Source organism: Homo sapiens, chromosome 1 (assembly GCF_000001405.40).
Source record: "Homo sapiens chromosome 1, GRCh38.p14 Primary Assembly".
Lineage (NCBI taxonomy): Eukaryota > Metazoa > Chordata > Mammalia > Primates > Hominidae > Homo > Homo sapiens.
The window spans coordinates 15,256,366-15,281,922 of NC_000001.11; the positions used below are offsets into that span (position 1 = coordinate 15,256,366).

The 25,557-nt window shown below is 44.3% G+C and overlaps 1 protein-coding gene across 40 annotated transcripts in view, besides 2 other annotated features; it reads left to right on the forward strand.

The window, feature by feature from the left end:
* FHAD1 (forkhead associated phosphopeptide binding domain 1) overlaps window positions 1–25,557 on the forward strand; it is a 166,490-nt gene that overhangs the window by 19,845 nt on the left and 121,088 nt on the right. For 37 of the 40 annotated variants that reach the window (XM_047443734.1, XM_017000198.3, XM_017000199.3 and 34 more), the window contains exon 3: window positions 15,958–16,164. The exons of 2 other annotated variants lie outside the window; for them this stretch is intronic. In XM_047443734.1, the coding sequence (XP_047299690.1) occupies window positions 15,958–16,164 (207 nt within the window). Of the gene's footprint in view, window positions 1–15,957; window positions 16,165–25,557 lie in introns of those variants that run through there. One more of the 40 variants, XM_011540592.2, reaches the window with a different exon arrangement.
* Window positions 5,128–5,422: a silencer, noted in NCBI's record as "tiled region #5897; K562 Repressive DNase unmatched - State 20:ReprD". NCBI's record gives its function as "represses a minimal TATA promoter and a strong SV40 promoter by Sharpr-MPRA in K562 cells {active_cell/tissue: K562}" and the evidence as "EXISTENCE:reporter gene assay evidence [ECO:0000049][PMID:27701403]".
* Window positions 5,197–5,256: an enhancer, noted in NCBI's record as "active region_233". NCBI's record gives its function as "activates an Ori minimal core promoter by ATAC-STARR-seq in GM12878 lymphoblastoid cells {active_cell/tissue: GM12878}" and the evidence as "EXISTENCE:reporter gene assay evidence [ECO:0000049][PMID:35858748]".

Consider the following 25,557-nt stretch of genomic DNA (forward strand, 5'->3'; position numbering starts at 1 on the left):
CGCACAGCCAGGCACGGTGGCTCACGCCTGTAATTCCAGTACTTTGGGAGGCCGAGGCGGGCGGATCACTTGAGGTCAGGAGTTCGAGACCAGCCTGGCCATCATGGTGAAACCCCATCTCTACCAAAAATACAAAAATTAGCCGGGTGTGGTGGTGCACACCTGTAATCCCAGCTACCTGGGAGCCTGAGGCAGGAGAATTGATTGAACCTGGGAGATTGCAGTGAGCTGAGATTGTGCCACTGCACTCCAGCCTGGGCCACAAAACAAGACTCTGTCCAAAAAAAAAAAAAAAAAAAAAAAAAAAGAGTGGAGAGCTGATCTCCTCCTTAGGACCTCACCCTGCCCTGCCCTACACCGAGGAGATTTCAGGATTCCCTTTACAATTGACTTGTAGGGCAGCCAGAATCAATGCAGTGCCGTGGCTAGGAGGGCGAAGATCATGGAGAAAAGCAAAGGACAGAAACTGCAGGGGGATGCAGGTGAAATGCTCATGCCTGCCCCTCTGCCCTTTGTGGACAGCATCCTACTAGTTGACTCCTTTCTCTCTAGGGGAACTGTTCTCTATAGCATGTCAGCTCCTTCTCATATGGGATCAGAGGGTCAGGGCACAGGAGTGATCTAACACAACAGAACCATCCAACCCAATGAGTTGTATCCCTTTGCCTGGCACCTGCCATTTCTGGGCTGCCTGTAAGAACTATAAGAGCCTGCATCAAAGTCTTTTTTATTATTATTAAACAATGCTGTACTGAATACCTTTTACCCATCATTTCACGGACGTGCGAGTCCATGTGCCATGTCAAAGGACATGTATGGCTGCAGCTCTGTTGGCATCGCCACACTGCCCTCCAGTGAAGGCTTATAGGGTCAGTTCCCCACCAACAGTGAGGGCACCCCCTCCCCTCCCGAGTGGAGCATGTGACCTACCTGACAAATTTCTGCTCATCCAAGAGGCGAAACATGGTATCCGTGACATTTTAATTCACATTTCCCATGCTATGCGTGAACCCCTCAAGTTTTGAGAGAGAAGGTGACAGGTGGACATGAACCTGGATAAAGATGCTCACCCCTCCCCGGTCCTGTGACGAAATCCACCAAAAGAAGCAGGCCTGGGGGATGTCCAGCCACCTGCTGTCCCATCAGGACGCGCCCGTTCACCTTCCTGCCTCAGCTGTGCTCGCACACTCAGCCCTGGCTCCTCACCAGGCGTCCTGCGCTCTGTGATGTGCCTCGTCTGATCTCGTCAGTCCTCAGGGAACTCTTCTTTCCCCTGATGTCACTGGTCAGTTCCCAACACAGCAATGCATGGGCCTACTTTCCCTTCAGCACGTGGAGGGCTTACAAGAGGAAGAAGTTCCAAGAAAAGGACTAGATCATCATCTCTCTTTTCAATAAATACACACAACGTAACATTTATCATCTTCGCCATTTTAAGTGTTCAGTTCAGTGGCATTAACTGCATTCATGTTGTTTTTTTGGGGGGAGGGGAGACAGAGTCTCGCTCGCTCTGTCACCCAGGCTGGAGTGCGGTGGCACAATCTTGGCTCACTGCGGCCTCTGCCTCCTGGGTTTAAGTGATTCTTGTGCCACAGCCTCCTGAGTAGCTGGGATTATGGGCATGAGCCACCATGCCTGGCTAATTTTTGTATTTCTAGTACAGACGGGGTTTCGCCACATTGGCCAGGCTGGTCTCGAACTCCCTACCTCAGGTGATCCACCTGCCTCAGCCTCCCAAAGTGCTGGGCTTACAGGTGCAAGCCACTGCACCTGGCCTCACTTTGTTACTCTGCCACCACCATCCATCCACAAGAACTCCCTTCATCTTGCAAAACTGAAACTCTGTACCTATTGAAGAAGAATTCCCCTTCCCCTCCCAGCCCCCCAGTCCCTGGCAGCCACCGTCTTTCTGACAAAGTACTTTCTGTCTCTGAATTTGCCTGTAGCAGGTTCCTCATAGACTATACTATACGCTGAATCGTATAGTACGTGTCTTTTGTGACTGGCTTATTTCACTTGGCATAATGTTCTTAAGGTTCCTCTGTGGCAGCATGTGTCAGAGTTCCCTTCCTTTTGAAGGCTGAATAGTGGCTGCTGCATGTCTGTCCTACATTTTGTTGATCCATTCATCTGTCAATGGACACTTGGGTTGCTTCCAGCTTTTGGCTGCTGTGAATAATGCTGCTATAAACATGAGTGTCCAGATATCTCTGTCTCTCTTTTTTTTTTTTTTAATGGAGTCAGAGTCTCGCTCTGTTGCCCAGGCTGGAGTGCAGTGGCACAATCTCGGCTCACTGCCAACCTCTGCCACCCGGGTTCAAGTGATTCTCCTGCCTCAGCCTCCTGAGCAGCTGGGACTATAGGCATGTACCACCACGCCCGGCTAATTTTTTTGTATTTTTAATAGAGACTGGGTTTCACCATGTTGGCCAGGCTGGTCTCAAACTCCTGACCTCAGGTGATCCGCCCGCCTCGGCCTCCTAAAGTGCTGTAATTACAGGTGTGAGCCACCACCGATATCTCTTCAAGCCCCTGCTTTCAGTTCTTTCAGATCCATACCCAGAAGAGAAGCAGAACCGCCAGATCAGATGACAGTTCTATTTTTAATTTTTTGAGGAACTGCCATACTGTTTTCCACAGTGGCTGCACAATTTTGCTTTCCCAGCAACAGTGCATAAGGGCTCCAGTCTCCCCACATCCTCACCAGCACTTGGTATTTTCTGGGGGTGGTGGTTGTTTTTACAGTAGCCATCCTAATGAGAGTGAGGTAGAAGATCATAATCTTCTGAGACACATTGCTGTCTCAGCTCAAGGTTCTTTTGACTAGCACAGATAATACAAACGGCCACACCCCCATGTATAGACTAGTTATGAGGCATCTCGTGTGGTTTTGTATGTGTTCTATGTATATGCCGTGTATGTGTTACAGAGCTTTATCCTCAAACAGCCCTATCAGGCGAGAACTACTATTATCGTTATTATCCTCATGTAAAGATGTGGAAATGGGGCTCAGAAAGGTTAAATAACTTGCCCCAAATCACACATCTAGTCGGGGACGGTGGGGCTGAGTTTCAGACTTGGGGCTGTCTGATGCAACGCTTCTACTCAAAGATACTTCATTGTTTGGTTGTAAATTTGGCTTTAGGGAACATCTAAAAATCTAAATATCTGAAATTCCTTGTGAGTCAGTTAAGATAATCGGTAGTGGGAAATCCCACAGTTTGGACTCCTAGGTGGGGATTATCAGCAGAACAGCGAAAATCACTTTTCCTGTGATCCTCATCGATGCAACAAACTGAGGTGGCGCCCTCAGTGTGGGATTGGGGTAAAGAGGAAATGTCGACCCAGGCTGCAGGTGTTTTCCTGGGAAGAGGTGTGCTGAGGGCTGCGTGGATGACCCACGAGGATCCTGTCTCAGGTGTCGGGGACAGCTCCTCAGAGCAGACCAAGCTGGAGCTGCCTCTTACAAGAGAAAGCCTGGTTTGCCAGGTATGACAGGCCAGAAAGGGCCCCCCTCTCCCTGCCAGGTGTAAGAAACAGCGCACACAAAGATCCGGAGGTGTTGCTTGAAGCACTTGGCATGGCATGATGAGGGCTGGATGGCCCTGCCACCCACATGCAAAAAGGCCACGTAAGCTAGGCTAAGCGTTTCATGTTTAACTTGCTGCGAAAATGGAACCCCCTCCTCAAAAGGCTTTGAGCTGGGGAGAAATTGATTGTCTTCGTTATTTTGAAGAGAACACTGACAAACGTAGGCAGAATGGGTGGACAAAGAACAGAAGGGCGGCTCTAGAACAGGGTGGTCAAGAGCATGAACTCGGTGCTAGGCCTCTTGCCTGTGATCCTGGCTCTGCCCTCTGAGTTGTAGGGTCCCAGGCAAGTTACCCAGCCATTCTCGGCTGCAACTTCTGTGTGTGTATGGTGGGGAACTGTGTTACGAGACTGAATTACCATGAAGTGCTTAGGACAGTGCCTGGCAGGTGGTTAATACTACAGTACATTTTGGTTATTGTATTCGTTTTCTATTTATAACAATGAGTGTTTATTATCTCACAGTTCCTTAAGTCAGAAGTCTGAGTGGACTCAGCTGGTTCCTCTGCCCCAGGTCACTCAAGGCCAAAATCAAAGTGTTGGCCGCCTGGGCTCTTGGCTGGAGGCTCCAGGGAATCGTCTGCTTCTAGCCCCACTCTGTTGGAAGAATTTAGCTCGATGCTGCTATAGAACCGAGGCCTCTGTGTCCTCACTGGCCATCGGTTGGAGGCCAGCCTCAGCTTCAGAGGCCTCCCAATCCCGCATGGCTCAGGGCCCCTTTATCTTCAAAACCAGCAACAATGGTTCTAGTCTTTCTCATGCTTCAGATTTCTCTGACCTCCCCGTCTGACTCATCTCTCCAACTCCAGCCAGAGAAAGTTCTTTGTTTTTAAGGGCTCACGTGGTTAGATTAGCCCCCTCTGGATAATCCAGGTTAACCTCCCTGTTTCAAGATGAGTCATCGTTATCACTTCTGCACCATCCCTTTGCCATGTAAGGCAGCAGCACACTCACGGGTTCCAGGGATTAGGACACGGACACCTTTGTGGGACCATTCTGCCAATCACAGTTATTACCATCTCTTGCTTGGACTCTGGCCATAGAGAGGGAAGCGATAATATGGGATGTTGAGAGCTTTTCAGAGGAATCAGTAGGGTCACTGCCAGGGACAGTGGAGAAAGATGGTGGATGAGCCAAGAGGATGATGCTATCATTTGTGTTATTGTGGGTTTACTTTGTGCCAGGCACTGTTGTTTGCACTTTTGTGTGTATTAACTCGGTTAATCCTTTCAGCAACCCTACAAGTTAGGGATCTCCCTTCCCCCATTTTACAGATGAGGAAGTTGTGGCACAGACAGACTAAGGAGCCTGCCCAAGGTCACGTATGACGGGCACAGAGGGTGGGATTCATAGTCAGGCTGTCTGGGACCGTGCAGGGACAAGAAGCTTCAGGAAAAGAGGACTTCCGGAACGGGGGTGTGGACACGAGGATGACTAATCGCTGCTCTATCATGAGTGCCTAGCAAGTGGGCACGCATTGCTGTCTCAGCTCAAGGTTCTTTCGAGCCGTCAGTGCACCGAGGGGAACTGTCACAGACTCCATTACACAGGACTCTCGGAACTCTCCCCTCCCTCTCTCAGAGTAGCACTGATTCTGGGGAGCTCTCAGAGATACCGCCTGAAACAGCGTCTTCTCGGGGACTTGCCTGCTTCTCAAGACTCTCCCAGAGAAGCTGAGCAAGGCTCTGATTGACAGGAGGGAAGCCGACAAACTTCCTCTTTCCCTCTGCTCCCAGACTCACAGTCTTACCAGAGCCCTGGCCATTTCCTCATATCCCTATTCCTTTGAAAACCCCAGCTTGTTCTGTTTCTGCATTACATCCCTTTCCTGAGGCAGTGACAGGGGTCACAGTGGGGGCGCAGGATGGCCAAGGACCAAAAGGTAAAAAGAAATATGATTTGATACACACAGGTGCCTGTCGTCCCAGGCACTTGGGTGGCTGAGGCAGGAAGATCACTCGAGCCCAGGGGTTCAAGGCTGTATTATGCTTTGATGGTGCCTGGAAATAGCTACTGCACTCCAGCCTGGGCAACATAGCAAGCCCCTGTGTTTTTAGCACACACGCACACACACACACACACCAGTTAATTTCAAAAATGTTATCCCACCACACTGAAAATTTTGCCAAATAGTATCTTTTGTCAGTCCTTTGAGGTAGAGCTTATCACACTCATTTTTGCAGCATAGGAAGCAGCCTCAGAGAGGCAAAGAAACTTGTCCCAGGCTGCACAGCAGGAATGCAGCAGAGGTGGGACTTGAACTCAGAGCTTTCTAAGTGCAGAGCCCATCCTTCTGCGCATAATAGTGAACATTTTAACACCTGCTATTGGGCTAAAATACTCTTCTAAGTGCTTTTTATATATACTGTTTCATTTATTCTTCACCACAAACCCATAAGGGCCATTCTGCTATTATCTCTGTTTACAGATGAGGAAACTGAGGTCCCAAGGGAATAGATCACTTGCCCAGGGTCACCCCACTAGGAAGTAGGAGAGCTAGAAACGAGGTCTCACTATGTTTCCAGGCTGGCCTCTAACGCCTGGGCTCAAGTAATCCTCCTACCTCAGCCTCACAAAGTGCTGGGATTACAGGTGTGAGCCACAACATGTATTTTGTGACTGCTTTATTTCACCAGCATATGTTCTCAAGGTTCATCCACGTTGTGGCAGAATTTCCTTTCTTTTAAAAGCTAAATAACATCCATTGTTTGGATGGACCACGTTTTGTTTATCTTTTGTCTGTCCATGGACACCTGGGTTGCTTTCACCATTTGGCTACTGTGAATAATGTGAATAATGCTGCTAGGAACACGACTGTACAAATGTCTCTTTGAGACCCTGCTTTCAATTCTTTTGAATATATACCCAGAAGTGGCATTGCCGGATCATATGGTAATTCTATTATTACATTTTTGAGGAACCACAATATTGTTTCCACAGTGGCTGCACTATTTTACATTCCCAGCCACAGTGCACGAGGGTTTAACATCTCCACGTCCTCGCCAACACTTATTTTCTGTGTTTTTATAGTAGCCATCCTAAAGGGTGCAAAGTGGTATCTCCTTGTGGTTTTGATTTGAATTTCTTAATGATTTGTGATCTTGAGCATTCTTCTCATATACTTGTTGGCCATTTGTGTATCTTCTTTGGAGAAAGTCCATTCAAATCCTTTGCACATTTTTTAATAGGGTTATTTTTGTTTTGTTACTGTTGAGTTGTGGGGTTCTTTATATATCATGGAGATTAACCCTTTTTCAGATATGTGATTTGTAAATATTTTCTTCCATTCCGTAGGTTGCCTTTTCACTGTGTTGAGTGTATCCTTTGATATATAGAAGTTTTAATGTTAATGTATTCCAGTTTATCTATTTTTACTTTTGTTGCCTGTGTTCTTGGTGTCATTGCCAAGAAATAACTGTCAAATCTATTGTCCGGAAGCTTTTCTTCTATGTTTTCTTTTAAGGGTTTTATAGTGTTAGCTCTTATGTTTAGGTCTTTGATCCATTTTGAACTAATTTTTGTTTATGGTGTAAGTTAAGGGTCCAGTTTTATTCTTTTTTTTTTTTTTTTTTTTTTTTTGTCTGAGACAGCGTCTCGCTCTGTCGCCCAGGCTGGAGTGCAGTGGCGCAATCTCGGCTCACTGCAAGCTCCGCCTCACGGGTTCATGCCATTCTCCTGCCTCAGCCTCCCAAGTAGCTGGGACTACAGGCACCTGCCACCACGCCCAACTAATTTTTTGTATTTTTAGTAGAGGCGGGGTTTCATTGTGTTAGCCCAGATGGTCTTGATCTCCTGACCTCGTGATCTGCCCGCCTCAGCCTCCCAAAGTGCTGGGATTACAGGCGTGAGCCACTGTGCCCAGCCTAGTTTCATTCTTTTACTAATACATGTGGATATCCAGTTTTCCCAGCATCATTTGTTGAAAAGACTGTCCTTTCCACCATTGAATGGTATTGACACCCTTGTCGAAAATCATTTGACCATATATGCAAAGGTTTATATGGGGGCTTTCTAATCTGTTTCACTGTCTATGTGTCTGGCATAAATGCTAAGCCCACAGTGTTTTGATTACCCTATCTTTTTAATAACTTTTGAAACCAGGAAGTATGACACTTCCAACTGTTCTTCTTTTTCAAGATTGTTTTGGCTCTTCAGGGTTCCTTTGAGAATCCATATAAATTTTAGAATAAAATTTTCTATTTCTGGGAAAAAAGAACACCATTGGAATTTTGATAAAGATTGCATTAAATCTGTAGGTTGCTTGGGTAGTATTGATGTTCTAAACAATATTAGGTCTTCCAATTCTTGAACATGGGTTGTCTTTCCATTTATTTGTATCTTCTTTAATTTCTTTCGGCAACATTGTGTAGTTTTCAATGTACAAGTCTTTTGCCTCCTTGGTTAAGTTTATTTCTAATATTTTCTTCTTTTTGATGCTATTGTAAATGGAATGGCTTTCTTATTTTACTTTTCAGCTTGTTTATTGTTAGTGTATAGAAATACCACTGATTTTTGCATGCTGATTTTGTATCCTGAGTACAAAATAAATGATTTTGTATCATTTATTATGAATTCAGTGTTATATGTATATATGTGTGTGTGTGTGTGTGTGTGTGTGTGTGATCTTTAGGGCTTTCTACATATAAAAATCATGTTGTCCAACAATACAGGTAATTTTATTTCTGGGATATATTGAATGCCTTTCACTTCTTTTTCTTGTCTAACTGCTCTGACTAGGACTTCCAGTACTATTTCAAATAGAAGTGGTGAGGGTGGGCATCTTTATCTCATTCCTGGTCTTAGAGGAAAAGTCTTAGTCTTTCACCACTGAGAATTATGTTAGCTATGAGCTTTTCACATATGGCCTTTATTATGTTGATGTAGTTTTCTTCTATTCCTAGTATTTTTTTGTGTTTTCATCATGGAAAGAGTGTTGAATTTTGCCAAGTGCTTTTTCTCCATCAGTCCAGATAGTCACGTGGTTCTTCCTTTTCATTCTGTTAATGCATTATGTTACACAGATTGATTTTCATGTTGAACCATCCCTGCATTCCAGGAATCAATCCCACTTGGTCATGGTGTATAATCCTTTTAATAAGCTGTTGAATTACGTTTGCTAATATTTTGTTGAAGATTTTTGCATCAGTATTCATTAGGGATATTGGTCTGTAGTTTTCTTATAATGTCTTTGGTTTTACTGACAGGGTAATGCTGGTCTCTTACTTCGCCTTTTGAGTCTCAGCTTCTCCATCTGTAATATGGAGATTATAGTAGAACTCCCTGTAAAGGGCTGTTTTGCAGATTAAATGAGGGAATGAACACAAAGTGCTTTGGTAAGGCCCAGTTCACAGGAACTTCTCAAAATATGTTAGCTGATAATAATAATAAAAACAGAACAGCAGTTAATCTCATAATGAGACAGTTCAGCAGAGTGGAGCTTGTACATTCAGCCTATGTTGGCAGCAGAGCTTTCTACTAACATCAGTTTTTTGCAGTTATCTAAATACAGGAGGGAGTGGTATTATCAGGCAGTCCTCAGAAACTCTCCCTTGGCCTAACACAAGGCAGAGGCTTGTCCCATTTTGTGGTATCATCCAAAACTTCCTCCTGGCTTTGATTTCTTAATCACGGCTTGACAGCTTCTGAGGAGCTGAAAGTAATGGGATTTGAGAAGAGAAAAACAAAATGTAACACATAGAACTTATCTCTTTGATGAGTTATTAAGAGTTCATAGGCTGGGTGCGGTGGCTCACACCTGTAATCCCAGCACTTTTGGAGGCTGAGGCGGGCAGATCACCTGAGGTCTGGAGTTTGAGACCAGCCTGGCTAACATGGTGAAACCCTGTCTCTACTAAAAATACAAAATTAGCTGGATGTGGTGGTGTGCCCCTGTAATCCCAGCTACTCAAGAGGCTGAGGCAGGAGAATTGCTTGAACCTGGGAGGCGGAGGTTGCAGTGAGCCAGGATTGCACCACTGCACTCCAGCCTGGGTGACAGAGCAAGACTCCATCTCAAAAAAAAAAAAAAAAAAAGAGAGAGAGAGTTCTTAGAGCACAAAGAAATGTGGTCAGTAGGAATGGAGATGAAGATGATGTGGGAAGCATTTCCCAAAGGGCGAATATGTTTTCATGTTTATTTAATAAACTTTATTATTTTTGTGTGTTTGTTTTGAGACAGGGTCTCGCTCTGTTGCCCAGGCTGGAGTGTGGTGGTGCCATCATGACTCACTGCAGCCCCAACTTCCTGGGCCAAAGCAATCCTCCCACCTCAGCCTCCCAAGTAGTTAAGGCCACAGGTGTGCACCACCACACCTGGCTAATTCTTTCATTTTTGTAGAGATAGGGTCTCCTTATGTTGCCTAGGCTGATCTTGAACTCCTGGGTTCAAGCCTCCTGACTTGGCCCCTCAAAGTGCTGGCATTTCAGGCATGAGCCAACATGTCTGGCCTAGACTTTTTTTTTTTTTTAGCAGTTTTAGGTTCACAGAAAGTTGAACAGATAGTACAGAGAGTTCCCACATATAACAACCCCTCCCCCACAACACTCACACATACACACGCAGTTTCCCCTATTATTAACATCTTCGTTACTATGATACATTTGTTGCAATTGATGAATCAATATTCATATGTTATTATTAACTCAAGCCCAGAGTTTACATTAGGATTCATTCTTCACGTTATAAAGTTCTGTGGGTTTTGACATAGGCATAATGTCAGGTATTCACCAATATAGAATCATACAGAATAGTTTCACTGCCCTAAAGATCCCCTGTGCTTACCTGTTCAACACAGCCCCCCACCTTCCCCTGACCCCTGGCAACCACAAATCTTTCTATAGTTTTATCTTTTTAAAAGTTTCATGTAGTTGAAATCATACAATATGTAGCCCTTTTAGATTAGCTTTTTTCACTAAGCAATATGCATTTAAAGTTCCTCTGTATCTTTTTGTGGCTTGAGAGCTCATTTCTTTTTATCATTGACTGATGTTTCTACCAGTTTGTTTATCCATTTACCTTCTGAAGAACATTTTGGTTGCTTCCAGTTTTTGGCAATTATGAATAAAGATGCTATAAACATGCATCCAAAATAAATGAATCTTAAATCCCAACAATAAGAAAACAACCCAAATTAAAGATGGACAAAAGATCTGAACAGATACTTTGCCAAAGAAGATATACAGATGGCAAATAAGCATATGAAAAGATTTTAACCATCATATTTCACTTAGCAATTACAAATAAAAGAATATATCTCCCCATTTTTTTTCTTTAGCCTCTTGATGCAATGGATTACATTAATTGATTTTCAAACGCCAAATCAGTTCTTGAATACCTGGAATAAATCCCACTTAGTTGTGGTGTATAATTATTTTTATACATTGTTGGATTATATTCACTAATATTTTGTTGAAGACTTCACGTCTATGTATATGGGAGATATTGGCTTCTAGTTTTCCTTTCTTGTAATGTCTTTATCTTGATTGGGTATTCAGGTGATATTGGCCTCACAGAATAAGTTAGGAAGTATTCCTCCTGCTTCTATTTTCTGGAAGAGATTGTAGGGAGCTGGTATCATTTCTTCCTTAAATGTCTGATAGAATTCACCAGGGAACCCATCTGGGCCTGGTGCTTTCTGTTTTAGAAGGTTATTAACTATTGATTCAAATTCTTTAATAGATAAGGGCCCAGATCATCTATTCCTCCTTGTATGAGTTTGGGTAAATTGTGTCTTTCAAGAAATTGGTCCATTTCATCTAAGTTATCAAATTTGTGGACAGAGAGCTGTTCATAATATTCCTTTATATATCATTATAAATAATATATAAAATAATAATATAAATGATATATAAATTATAAATATAAATTTTATATAGCATATATTTATAAAATAAATATTTTATATATTATAAATATAATATAAATATATTGATATGATATAAAAATATGGTATATATAAAATATGTTTTATAGCATATAAATAGGAATATAAAAAATATATATATATTTGCTGTTCTTTACATTTTCTTTTCTTTTTTTAATTTTATTATTATTATACTTTTAAGTTTTAGGGTACATGTGCACAATGTGCAGGTTAGTTACATATGTATACATGTGCCATGCTGGTGTGCTGCACCCATTAACTCGTCATTTAGCATTAGGTATATCTCCTAAAGCTATCCCTTCCCCCTCCCCCCACCCCACAACAGTCCCCAGAGTGTGATGTTCCCCTTCCTGTGTCCATGTGTTCTCATTGTTCAATTCCCACCTATGAGTGAGAATATACGGTGTTTGGTTTTTTGTTCTTGCAATAGTTTAGTGAGAATGATGATTTCCAATTTCATCCATGTCCCTACAAAGGACATGAACTCATCATTTTTTATGGCTGCATAGTATTCAATGGTGTATATGTGCCACATTTTCTTAATCCAGTCTATCATTGTTGGACATTTGGGTTGGTTCCAAGTCTTTGCTATTGTGAATAGTGCTGCAATAAACATACGTGTGCATGTGTCTTTATAGCAGCGCGATTTATAGTCCTTTGGGTATATACCCAGTAATGGGATGGCTGGGTCAAATGGTATTTCTAGTTCTAGATCCCTGAGGAATCGCCACACTGACTTCCACAATGGTTGAACTAGTTTACAGTCCCACCAACAGTGTAAAAGTGTTCCTATTTCTCCACAACCTCTCCAGCACCTGTTGTTTCCTGACTTTTTAATGATTGCCATTCTAACTGGTGTGAGATGGTATCTCATTGTGGTTTTGATTTGCATTTCTCTGATAGCCAGTGATGGTGAGCATTTTTTCATGTGTTTTTTGGCTGCATAAATGTCTTCTTTTGAGAAGTGTCTGTTCATGTCCTTTGCCCACTTTTTGATGGGGTTGTTTGTTTTTTTCTTGTAAATTTGTTTGAGTTCATTGTAGATTCTGGATATTAGCCCTTTGTCAGATGAGTAGGTTGTGAAAATTTTCTCCCATTTTGTAGGTTGCCTGTTCACTCTATATTTATTATAGAATATAAATATTCCATAATAAATATATCCATGGGATCAGCTGTGATGGCCTCTCTTTCATGTCTGATATCAATAATTTGTGTCTTCTCTCTTTTTTTCTTGGTTACCTACTAGAGGTTTGTCAGTTCTATTGATCTTTCCAAAGAACCAACTTTTGTTTTCTTTGATTCTCTCTATTGTCTTCAATTTCATTCATTTCTGATCTAATATTTCTTTCAGTTCTTCTGTCTATGTTAGGCTTATACTGCTCTTCTTCCTCTAGTCTCCTAAGGTAGAAACTTTGATTATTGATTTCAGATCTTTCTTCTTTTCTTATGTGTGCATTCAAGGCTATAAATTTCCCTGTAAGCACTGCTTTCACTGCTTCCCACAAATTTTAAGTGGTATTTTCATTTTCATTTAGTTAAGATAATTTTTAATTTCTCCTGAGATTTCTTCCTTCACCGTGTGTTATTTAGAAATGTGTTGTTTAATCTCCAAATGTTTTGGGATTTTCCACCTATCTTTCTGTTACTGATTTCAAGTTTACTTCCATTGTGGTCTGAGAGCATATTCTACATGATTTCTATTCCTTTAAATTCATTGAGGTGTGTTTTATGGCTCAGAATGTGGTATAGCTTAGTGAGTGTTCCATGTCAGCCCAAGAAGAACGTGCACCTTGTTGTTGTTGGGTTAAGTGTTCTATAAATATCAATTAGATCTTGTTGATTGACGGTGTTGTTCAGTTTAACTATGCCTTTACTAATTTTCTGCCTGCTGGCTCTGCTAATTACTGACAGAGGGTTGTGGAAGTTTCAGCTGTCATATTGGGCTTATCTGTTTTTCTTTGCAGTTCTGTCAGCTTTTGCCTTGTGTATTTTGGCACTCTGTTGTTAGGTGCATGCACATCAAGCATTGTTATGTCTTCTTGGAGAATTACCCCTTTACCATTATTTATGGCTCTCTTTTTTTTTTTTTTTTTTGAGTTTCACTCATGTCACCCAGGCTGGAGTGCAATGGCATGGTCTCAGCTCACTGCAACCTCCACCTACTGGGTTCAAGTGATTCTCCTTCCACAGCCTACTGAGTAGCTGGGATTACAAGTGTGCACCACTACACCCAGCTAATTTTTGTATTTTTAGTAGAGATGGGTTTTCACCATGTTGGCCAGGCTGGTCTCAAACTCCTGACCTCAGGGGATCTGCCCGCCCTGGCCTCCCAAAGTGCTGGGATTACAGGCATGAGCCACCACACCTGGCCTAATGCTTCTCTTTATCCCCAGTTTTTCTTGTTCTGAAACTGCCTTGGCCGCAGTTAGTATAGCTACTTCAGCTTTCTTTTTTATTTTAATATTTTGGGTGGCAAAGTGTTTGGTGGAAACTTGGAAAGTGGCTAATAGCACAGACATTTGAATCAGGCGAACCTGAGTACAAGCCAGGTGACTTGTCAAGCGGGGTGACTTTGGGTAAATTCATTCTGTGTCTCAGTTTCCCTATCTACCAAATGGGAAACTATCTCTAGATTGTTGTGAAGATGAAATAGGGCAATGCAATAAAGCACTAAGCAATCTCCTGGCTTGTAATGTGTAAGTAATATGTTTTATTGTTACTCTAGTATACATATTAATATATTCTATTATTAATATAAGCTCTAGGTTGTTATATGATGGAACTTTAGTTGTCTACATGCAAGTACTTTTATATAAAAGCTGGACAGGGCACCCTGAGAAGATAAACTTAGAAAATAGTTGCAAAGTCTCAAGCTGGCATGGATGTCTGGTTGACAGTGCCCTTAAAAGATGAAGACTTTGGCCGGGCACGGTGGCTCACGCCTGTAATCCCAGCACTTTAGGAGGCTGGGGCGTGCGGATCATGAGGTCAGGAGTTTGAGACCAGCCTAGCCAGTATGGTGAAACCCCGTCTCTCATGCCTGTGATCCCAGCATTTTGGGAGGCCGAGGTGGGTGGACCACGAGGTCAGGAGATGGAGACCATCCTGGCTAACATGGTGAAACCCCGCCTCTACTAAAAATACAGAAAATTAGCCAGGCGTGGTGGCAGGCGCCTGTAGTCCCAGCTACTTGGGAGGCTGAGGCAGGAGAATGGCGTGAACCCGGGAGGCAGAGCTTGCAGTGAGCTAAGATCGCACCACTGCACTCCAGCCTGGGCAACAGAGCGAGACTCCATCTCGGAAAAAAAAAAAAAAAAAAAAAAATTAGCTGGGCGTGGTAGCACATGCCTGTAGTCCCAGCTACTCGGGAGGCTGAGGCAGAAGAATTCCTTGAACCCAGGAGGTGGAGGCTGCAGTGAGCCGAGATCGTGCCACCACACTCCAGCCTGGGTGACGGAGCGAGACTCTGTCTCAAAAATAAAAGACGAAGACTTCAGTGTGCCCTGCAGCTCACAGTCAGAACATTTCCCTTCATCCCTCCAGGGCCCTGCAACCAGGGGAACATGCAGTCACCTCCTTTGTGCTGAGCTTCACTCAGTCCTCTTATTAAAGTGAAATTACAGAGGAGCTTCTGTCCCTTGCCATCAGTTTGCAGACACACTGGCTGGGGCCCCTTTCCTTTGGGGAAACATGGTCACACCAAGCCCCCTTTTGAAAAGCGGGCCATCTGTGGTTAGGCAAATCCTGAATAGCTTTTAAAAAGCAATGGAAATAACTAATCGCATGGGAAATATTTATTGTACATCAAGGTTTTTCAAAGGTAGTTATAAAACTATGTATGTAGGGTGTGATTAATTTTGTTTAAAAAAATTTAAAAGGACGTAAGCATAGAAAAAAAACGTGGAAGGATGTGAACCTCAATGTTAACCATGGCTGCCACTGGTGAGGGTGGGATTATAAGTAACGGTAATGGCTTCTTTAGTACTTTTCTCTATTTCTTGTTTGGGCCATTTTTGCCTCCTGTCCTGGTACTGAGTACCACCATAAATACCCATGTGGAGTCAGGGAAAAAGAAAATGGCCAATTCCTTGACGATTTTCGGTTTTGGTAAAATAAAAAATAAAAATAAAAACAAAAACAAAAAGAAAAGAAAATGGCCAATTCCCTGGTCCCATATTTGTCCAATATGACTCTCCCAAGATCCCTTTGCCTTTGTGTTGCCTGATTTCCCCACTCAACAACTTAGGTACCTGTCCCCAGGTCTGGTGTCAGACAGAGCACATATCCCAAGCTCCTTCACACACTAGCTGTGTGGCCTTGGGCAAGTCGCTTAACCTCTCTGATCCTCAGCCTCCTCCTTTTAAAATGAGGATTGTCGTGATGATCTGGCGGCGGCAAAACAGGTAAGGCACTCAGCTCAAAACATTAGGGGCCGTGTCATTTTTGTTTTCATGGCTACGACTGTCCTCCTTCTCCGTTGCAGTCTCCTGACATCGACAACCACCATGCACTCATTGAATATAACGAGGCGGAGTGCAGCTTTGTTCTCCAGGACTTCAATTCCCGCAACGGCACGTTTGTCAACGAGTGCCACATTCAAAACGTGGCTGTGAAGCTCATCCCTGGAGACATCCTGAGATTTGGGTCTGCAGGGCTGACCTATGAACTGGTCATTGAAAATCCACCTCCGGTGAGTCCGGGCCACTGGGGGATAGAGGGGCCATGTCGCCTTCGTGCAGCCCGGCGCTCGGATGCAGCTGCAGGGTGGCGCTTATCCACATTGGTGCCACTGTGATCGCACGCTGCACACAGGCAGCAGAGACAGAGTGGACCCTGTGGAGTTCTGAGTCATTCTGGCGGGTCCCAGGAAGGAGAGAATCTTAGCACCCTCTTCTGGGCATTTCTTGGAGTTGCATCTTGGCTCACATAGAACCAGTTTTCCAAAAATGTGCAACTTCCTGAGAGGAGGCGGAAAACAAGGTGTGCTTTTGAAAATGCAGAGGTGGATTTCATTTTTAGGTAGATGAGCACGCTGCTCCTTCCTAGCTCTGTGACCTGGGCCAGACTTCTTCATATGCCCAGGTCTCTGCCTTCTTGACGGCACATGGCATCAAGAGAATGTCTGTAGAGCCTGAAACTCAGTGTCCAAGTAGACGCTCTTAACACATAAGCGCCTGAAAAGCCAAATCTGTGAAGTCCGAGCCAGTGTTTCCCTAAACATGTCTGATTATCAGAATTTGAGGGGGACTGTTCAGTAAAATTACAGGTTCCCGGGGCCCCTCCATGGGAGATTCTAATTTTGTGACTTGCCAGTGGGGGAGGAGGAGGATGCACAATATCTCTATTTCTTTTTTTTCATACAAAGGTATTTATTGAAGTATTATTTGTAGTGGCATAACATTTGAAACCTAAATGCCCATCAAAAGGGGCATTGTTTAATAAAATATAAGGGGTTCATTCTTATGTGGATAACTATGCTGCTTTTTTTTAAAATGCAGCTTTATTGAGGTATAGTTGACATACAGTAAAACTGTACATGTCCAAAGTACATCATTTGCTAGGTTTGGGAACATGGATATACCTGTGAAGCCATTGCCACAACCAAGACATTAAGTGCACCCGTCACACTACAGGGTTCCTCATGACCTTAGCATTTCTTTGCTTCCTTGCTTTGAACAGCTTTATAGAAGTATAATTTATGCAGCATAAACCCTGCCCATTTTAAGCGTACAATTCAACACATTTCAGTATATTTACAGAGGGGTGCAGCCATCACCACAAGCCACTTTCAGAACATTGCCATCACCATGTACATCCTAGAAAGAAACCTGTGAGATACTTGACTTTTTGTGTTGGTTTGTGCAATTTTTTATGTTTTAAACTGTGGTAAAATACATATAACATGAAATTCACCGTATTCACCGTTTCTAAGGAACAGTTCAGTGTTGAGTGCATTCACATTGTGGCGCTGCTGTCACACCGTCGATCCACAGAACTCTTTTCATTTTGCAAAACTGAAACTCTGCCCCTATTAAACAAGAGCACACTGTCTCCCTGTTGCCCTCTCACCCTAGCCTCTAACGACCACCGTTCTACTTCCTGTCTCTGTGAATCTGACTACTCTGGGTACCTTGTATAAGCGAAATCATACGATATTTGTCCTTTTGTGTCTAGCTGGTTTCACTCAGCACCAAGTCCTCAAGGTTCATCCATGTTGTAGCATGCGTCAGACTGTCCTTCCTTTTGAAAGCTGAAGAATGCTCCCTTGTATGAGAGACCACATTTTGCTTATCCGTTCTTCCATGGGTAGACACGTGGGCTCCTTCCGCCTTTTGCCTATTGCAAATGATGCAGCTGTGAACCTAAGTGTACAAATTTGGGGAGGGGTATTTTGTTTTAATCACATAAGTGTGTCACCCAGTGGTAAAGATGTCCAACCTTCACTTCTGAAGGAGCAAAAGAATGTATTATAAAAGATTCTGTTTTGGCCAGGCATGGTGGCTCACACCTGTAATCCCAGCACTTTGGGAGGCCGAGCCGGGCAGATTGCCTGAGCTCAGGAGTTTGCGACCAGCCTGGGCAACACGGTGAAACCCCGTCTCTACTGAAATACAAAAAAAAAATTAGCTGGGCATGGTGGCGGGCGCCTGTAGTCCCAGCTACTCTGGAGGCTGAGGCAGGAGAATTGCTTGGACCCAGGAGGTGGAGGTTGCCGTGAGCCGAGATCATGCCACTGCACTCCAGCCTGGGTGACAGAGCAAGACTCCGCCTCAAAAAAAAAAAAAGATTCTGTTTTGTATAATAGTTTATATTTTGTTAGTGAATGAGAACGGTAGAGTTATTATAATGGAATAATGAGGAGGAGCAGGAGGGACACTGTGCTAAGGCATTTACCTGCTTTCCCTTATTTAATGCAACAGCCTAGGGCATGGGCTCTCTCATGATCCCCATTTTGCAGACAAGGAATCTGAAACTCAGAGAGGTTAAGTAATTTGCCCAGGACCACACAGCTAGTCACTGTGAATTAAACTCTGTCTCCACTTGCAGGTAACAATTGGGAGAAAACCATTGGGTCAGCTGCTAGGTGCAGCAGTATCATCAACTGGTTTTCAAAGACAACAAAGCACACTTTTTTTTTTTTGAGACGGAGTCTCACTCTGTCGCCCAGGCTGGAGTACAGTGGCCCGAGCTCGGCTCGCTGCAAGCTCAGCCTCCCGGGTTCACGCCATTCTCCTGCCTCAGCCTCCCGAGTAGCTGGGACTACAGGTGCCCACCACCATGCCTGGCTAATTTTTTGTATTTTTAGTAGAGATGGGGTTTCACCGTGTTAGCCAGGATGGTCTCGATCTCCTGACCTCGTGATCCGCCCGTCTCAGCCTCCCAAAGTGCTGGGATTACAGGCGTGAGCCACCGCGCCTGGCCAACAAAGCACACTTTTACAGTCACTTGGCTGTACATGAATTTTAAAAATTCTTATTTCTACATGCAGTTGCCTCCTGCTTTATTAGCTAAGGGACTTTTGGCAGCCAGACATCTGCCCCCTGGCCCATGCCCAGAGTACCTCACAGCAGCCCGAGCGTTTCCAGGGGGCAAGCCGAGCCTCTGTCCCTGCCAGGTTTTCCTCAGAAGACCCCCTGTCCGCCTCCACCCCATCCTCACAAAACTGCTCTCGGCTCCCTTTCAGAGCATTCCTAGATCAAGAGACATTCGTGCAGGCTTCCTCTTAGTGACAAAGGGTCCTTTGCAGGCCTGAGTGAGGGCAGCCATGTGGACTGAGTTTCTCTTTCTGATGGCTTCCCTTTCTATTTGCCTGATGACCTCGACCTGTGAGCTATAAAAAAGAAAAAAGGAGGTAGTGAAGAGCGTCTCTCATCAAATCTCATCTCATTTTGGGGTCCAGTTTTTCTAAGAAATGTGTAGCTGTCTTGATTCCAGCATGCTCTTGTCTCTTATTGATTCTTTGAGTCCCTAGAGAGGGGGCTGTGTCTTCCCCGCGGTAGAGTTTTCAAGGATTGTTTCCTTTGGAAGAGGACTGTCCTAATATTGTAAGGCTTAGCTGTTCTTTTCCCAAGAAAGAGTTCCCAAACAGAAAAATTTATTTCAGGCTTTGTGGTGACCATAACCAACAGAGAGGGACGTGACAGCCATTTCAATAGGAAATGGGAGGTGGAGGCAGAAGTTAGAGACCCAAATGTGTTTGTAGACATCACAGTGGCTAGCGTGGGTGTCCTGAAGTTCAAGTGAGTCTGCCCCACACAGTTCTGCCCTGCTCTTGACCAGCTGTGGGATCATGCACAAGTTGCTTCACCTCTCAAAGCCTCAGTTCCCATTTCTGTAAAATTGGAATCCTAATAGTTCCTCATGTGGGGTTACTGTAGTAGTAAACGGGTCATTGTTTGCAAATTGCTTAGCCCAGTATCTGGTGCCTATGATAGCAGGAAGGTAAGAGGAGCACGCTAGCAGCCACCTGCCTCCACTGTGAGCCTTCCCATGGACAGAAAACCTCCCAAGACCTCCCAACTACCAGGTGGATGCCTTTGCAAATAACTTACCCATGGAGTGACATACAAGGTAGAAAAACAGAAAGAAACTCTTGGTTTACAAAGTACATTGGCACCCACGATATGCTTAAGAGTACACGTTATATATCATAGCTTTTTTGCCAAAGTATAGCCTAGGGGCCGGGCGTGGTGACTCATGCCTGTAATCCCAGCACTTTGGGAGGCCAAGGCAGGAGGATCGCTTGAGGCCAGGAGTTCAAGACCAGCCTGGCCAACATAGTGAAACCCCATGTCTACCCAAAACACAAAAAATTAGCCAGGCGTGGTGGCACATACCTATAGTCCCAGCTAGTCAGGAGGCTGAGGCACAAGAATTGCTTGAACCCGGGAGGCAGAGGTTGCAATGAGCGAAGATCATGCCACAGCCTGGGCAACAGAGTGAGACTCTCTCAAAAAAAAAAAAAGTATAGCCTAGGGCCACCACCTTGCACAACTCCAGTCACCATTCACAGTAGAGTCCACAAAGATGGCACCCCCTGGAGTTGTGCGAGGCATAACCTACAGGGCCATTTGCGATGCCCTGAAGCAACTGTTGAGTAGTAACACTGACTCCCTGCCTAAGTGTCAGGCGTGTGAAATCCAAGTCACAAAGTCAGATGTGCTTGCCGCGTTGTTTCTGCCATTATGATGTTTGCTTGTTGGTTTCTTTAGTGCTTTATGATTTCCAGGAAAGGAGCTGTGAGTGAGGGTTGTCCTGTGAACACTAGTGCTGTTCTTATAAAGCAGCTAGGTAAGGAAACCTACGTTGGCCTGTTCTGCCCTGCTCCCATTCCAGCCAGAGCTTCCCACATGACTTCTGGATGCAGTCCTTCGACCCTCTTGCAACCTCATGACATCCTGCCCAACATAAAGAGTGCCCATATGCCTGGCTACTCACTGCCTTAAAGGGGAAGCTCTTTGGGAGTGCAGTGAAGAACACAAAGGCTTTGGAGTACGATAGACTGAAGTTCAAACTCCAATGGCAATCTAGCCTTTCTGAGCCTCAGTTTCCAACTTTTGCCGGGCAGGAACACATTAACCACAGGCTCCCTTTCCCCCTTCAGAATTTGCATACAGGCCTTTGGGACCATCCCATCACTGTATAAACTGAAGCCCAAAGAGGTTCTGCAGTGTTCCCAAGATTGTGTAATCAGTTATGGCCAGAACCAGGATTAAGTCTCCTGAGTCCCGGTCTGGGAGTCTTTCCCAACAGCCCAGAGCACCTCGGTCACCTGAGAGCTCAGGCAAGTTCCTCACTGCAGTGCTGCCAGCCTGCCACTTCACATGCTCATGGGGGATGATATATCGTGTGGGTAGAAATGAAAGCCACCGATGATAGAAGAAAATGCAGTTTCAGATAGGGGCTTCCTCATTCGCCTCCACTATCTTTTCACCAGGGATGCTGCTGAAGTTCCTGGACAAACTCAGTTCCCCCCTTGCAGTTTCTTTTTTGATGGTGATGATAATGTCTGGCGGCTAATGTTTAATGAGCATTTACTATACGTACCAGGAAGTGTCCTAAGTACTTAATATATATGATCTCATTTAGTTCTCGCAAAGTAAGAAGTATCTGTTGTCATCTCCATTTTACAGGTGAGGCACAAAACGTAACACATTTTTCGGGGTTATAGATGGTAGGAGGCAGAGGAGGTAGATTAACCAATTCTGCTTAATTCTAAATCCCATGTTCTTAACCAGAGGTCGGCAGACTACATCCCATGGGCCAAATTCAGACCATCTCCTGTTTTTATAAATAAAGTTTTATTGTAACACCTCCATGCCCACCAGTGTTTTTCTGCTCCAATGGCAGAGTTGAGTAGACAGAGATCATATGGCACACAAAGCCAAAAATATTTACTCTCTGGCTCTCTTAGCAAAAGTTTACCAACCTCCACTCATAACACTATGCTATTCTGCCTCTTTCATTTACCCAGTGTCTGAAAGAAGGGCTAAAAAGGAGGATAGGAGATTCTGGGGATAGGAGAAAGAATGAATGCCCCCACTATCTGCTAGGAACTGCGCTGGTTAATAGTTTACTTAGTTAACTGAGGAATAGGAAAAAGGGAAAATACGCTTTGAACAGTCTTCATTACCTCTTTTTTTTTTTTTTTTGAGACGGAGTCTCACTCTGTTGCTTAGGCTGGAGTGCAGTGGCACGATCTCAGTTCACAGCAACCTCTGCCTCCTGGGTTCAAGCAATTCTCATGCCTCAGCCTCCCAAGTAGCTGGAATTACAGGTGTGTGCCACCATGCCCAGCTAATTTTTGTATTTTTAGTAGAGACGCAGTTTCACCATGCTGGCCAGGCTGGTCTGGAACTCCTGACCTCAGGTGATCTGCCCACCTTGGCCTCCCAAAGTGCTGGGATTACCCGCCTTCATTACCTCTTTAAAACAGAACTTGGAGATATGTGGTTCTAAATATACACATACATGTATATGCATTTGCATATATAGTAATATAATCATATTGATACATCTGATAAATATGCTTGACATTAATGTATAATATACACAAGAGATGAATATTTATAAATTTTACCTGTTTCTTCAACTGGAAGTTTTTTTTTAAAACTTTGGAATGTTTTCCCTGGGATAACTTTTGAAACAGAAATTTGAGGTTTATAGTCCAGAGGCTGCTGTAGCTAGAGAACTGTTTATTTGTTCCAAATTTCTCCACCTAATGTTTTACTACCTGTGGTTGGTTCCTTGGTCTTAAGTCACTTCTTCTCTGGGGCCACTGCTTTACTCTTACAAGTTTAAAGGTAAATTTGGTGCATGATTATAGCCTGGTGGGTTTTACTCAAACAAGTCAGAACTCGCATTAACACCTTTCATTCTAAGTACATAGTGATATTTGTGCTCAAGTGTCAATAAGCATATTTTCCAGGAAATTTTACTGTTTGCAAGTGTCAGAAACCCAACTCAGACTAGCCTAAGCAAAAGAAGGAGAAGAAGAAGTAGCTGAAGTTATTTTTCATGTAACTGAAAAGGCCAGAAGCATCAGCTTCAGGCCTGGCTAGATCCAGGTGCTCAAGGGATGCTCAGGAATCTGTCTGTTAGGGTTACCTCTCTCGGCTTTGGAGCCCCCCCTCCCTCTTTCTCTGTACCGGGAGTTTCTTCCTTCTGTCTTCTTCCTTCTTTCTTGCCTATTAAACTTTCCGATCCTTAAAACTCAAAAAAAAAAAAAAAAAAAAGGAATCTCTTTCATCTTTGTGAGCTTCACAGTCTCAAGCAGATTCTTGCCCCACCTGTAATGAGGTGGCCACTGGCAACCCCAGCACCTTCCAAACTCAGCAGCTCTAGGAAAAGAGCAAGCGTCTTCATTGGCTTCGTTTGGATCACATGACTATCCCCGAACCAATCAGTGAGGCCAGAGACATGGAATGCTCTGACTGGCCAGGCCTGGGGCATACTCCCTCCCCTGGAGTGGAGGGGATGAGCCCCATTGTGGGAGGGAGGGGTGTCTCCCCCACACCCATGCAGGAGATGGATGCAATGTAGGGAGGAAAAACAAAAAAAAAGCCCATGGCAAGAAAGCATTCCTCCTACCTAAGCTGAGCCTCCGTAATGAGATTCCGTGCTAGGAGCTTGGGGTAAGAAAATGATGAATAATCCATTCTCTATCAGGGAAGTTCCAGGCAGGTCTCCAAGGAAGTAGCGTGGCTTGTTTTTCTCCTCGGTGTATGATGAGAAGGACACAGAGTTGGGGGTTTAGTCATCCATCCCAGGGAAGGTGGCAGTTCCCATCTTCATGGGACCGTTAAGTACTCCCCGTTCTTGAGAAGAATGTGGCTTTGCCTGTAACCAGGCCGAGTAACTGGGGATTGAACAAAGAACCAGAGAGCATGGCACACTTCAGAAGAAACGTCTCGATAGCCAAGCTTTGTCATCTCCCATCCCGATCGTGTAGTATTTTCCTCTACACTGTGCTGTTACAGCTCTTGGAGGGGACCTGCTGATGTGATGAAAGATCCTGAGACCAGGTTTTTTTATATCAAAGGACATTTTCCAAAGCCCATGAAGTGGAGGGCATGGGGCAGCAGACAGCCTCAGGCACAATGTCCTCGGCAAAAACACAGAAGGACTCCTGAAGTTTGCTTCCTCCTCAGATGTCTACAGAGTGTGCAGACAGCCTAGGGGACTGCAGGGAGGAGCGCAGGTGGAAGCCTTAGCATCCTGGTGAAACAGAACACGGACGACCCGGCCCAAAACCCCAGGGATCAACCGTGGCTGTTTCCTGCAGGTCACACTCTTCCCAAACTGCAGCCACATCGCCGCTTTTCCTAAGTTAGTTGATCATGCATTGGTTCATTCAGTCACTCAATCTGGCAAGACTGAGCTCCAGCAGGCCGAGTCTAGGGTAGAAAACGCAGTTTGCAAACATCTAAGTGTTTTCTCCTTAGATTCTCTTTCCCATTTTATGGACTGACCAGGAAATGAATTAGAACTTAAAGGAAAAGGAAAACTTTAAGCTAGAAGGTTTACAAAGATGGAAAGTAAGATGGGCCAGAATGCACTTAGGTGTCCCCTAACCCACCTGGCCAAAATCCAGATAAATGGCCTTTTTGAATAGCTCAAAGGGACCTACTTCTTTAAGTTCTAAAACGTGGAAATAGTATGTAACTTGGCTGTTCTGTGTTCTAACATGTATAATCCCAATTTCTGGAATGGAAAATCCTAGACATAATTGATCCTTTTCTTGGAGACTTAGAATTATTGCCCCATTTTGAATCCTGGCACCCGCCAGGGGCTGTTGAGATGGAGAAGGCTGTCTTCCTGGGCCGCACATAGCACCCTCTGCTGCCCTGGGGCTCTTCTGTCTGCGTTTTAGGGTCTGGCAGTCAGTTCCTGCTCTCTGCTGGGATCAGTGTGCCTCCTTTCCCCCTTCTTTCTTGCCCCTTCCTGTCCTTGTAATTGTGTAGTTATTAGGGTAAAATTGAGTAAGATCAGAGGAAGTAGAGGCTGAAAGTAGACCTAGAGGACTACCTGTATGAATAAGCGACATTAGTGGTTCCATGTGGATTTTGTATTATTTTTTTCTGGTAACTCAAAGGTCCCTTAAAAGAGTTTTGTTTTTGTTTTTTAATTAAATAACCTGGCCAGGCATGGTGGCTCACACCTGTAATTCTGGCACTTTGGGAAGTCAAGGTGGGTGGATCACTTGGGGCCAGGAGTTTGACACCAGTCTGACCAACATGGCAAAACCCCGTCTCTACTAAAAATACAAAAAATTAGCCAGGTGTGGTGGTGCATGCCTGTAATCCTAGCTCCTCGGGAGGCTGAGTCATAAAAATCGCTTGAACCCAGGAGACGGAGGTTGCAGTGAGCTAAAATCGCGCTACTGCACTCCAGCCTGGGTGACAGAGTGAGACACTGTCTCAAAAAAAAAAAAAAAAAAAAAAAAGGAGAGGGGAGGAAGGGGGCATTGATTAAGACTCAGCTCCACCTCCTGGTTGGGGATTACTTATGTGTGTTACATTCTTCTGTAAGGAAGTGTCTCTTCTCTGCCATTGAATTATTTACTCATTCATGTATCTATATC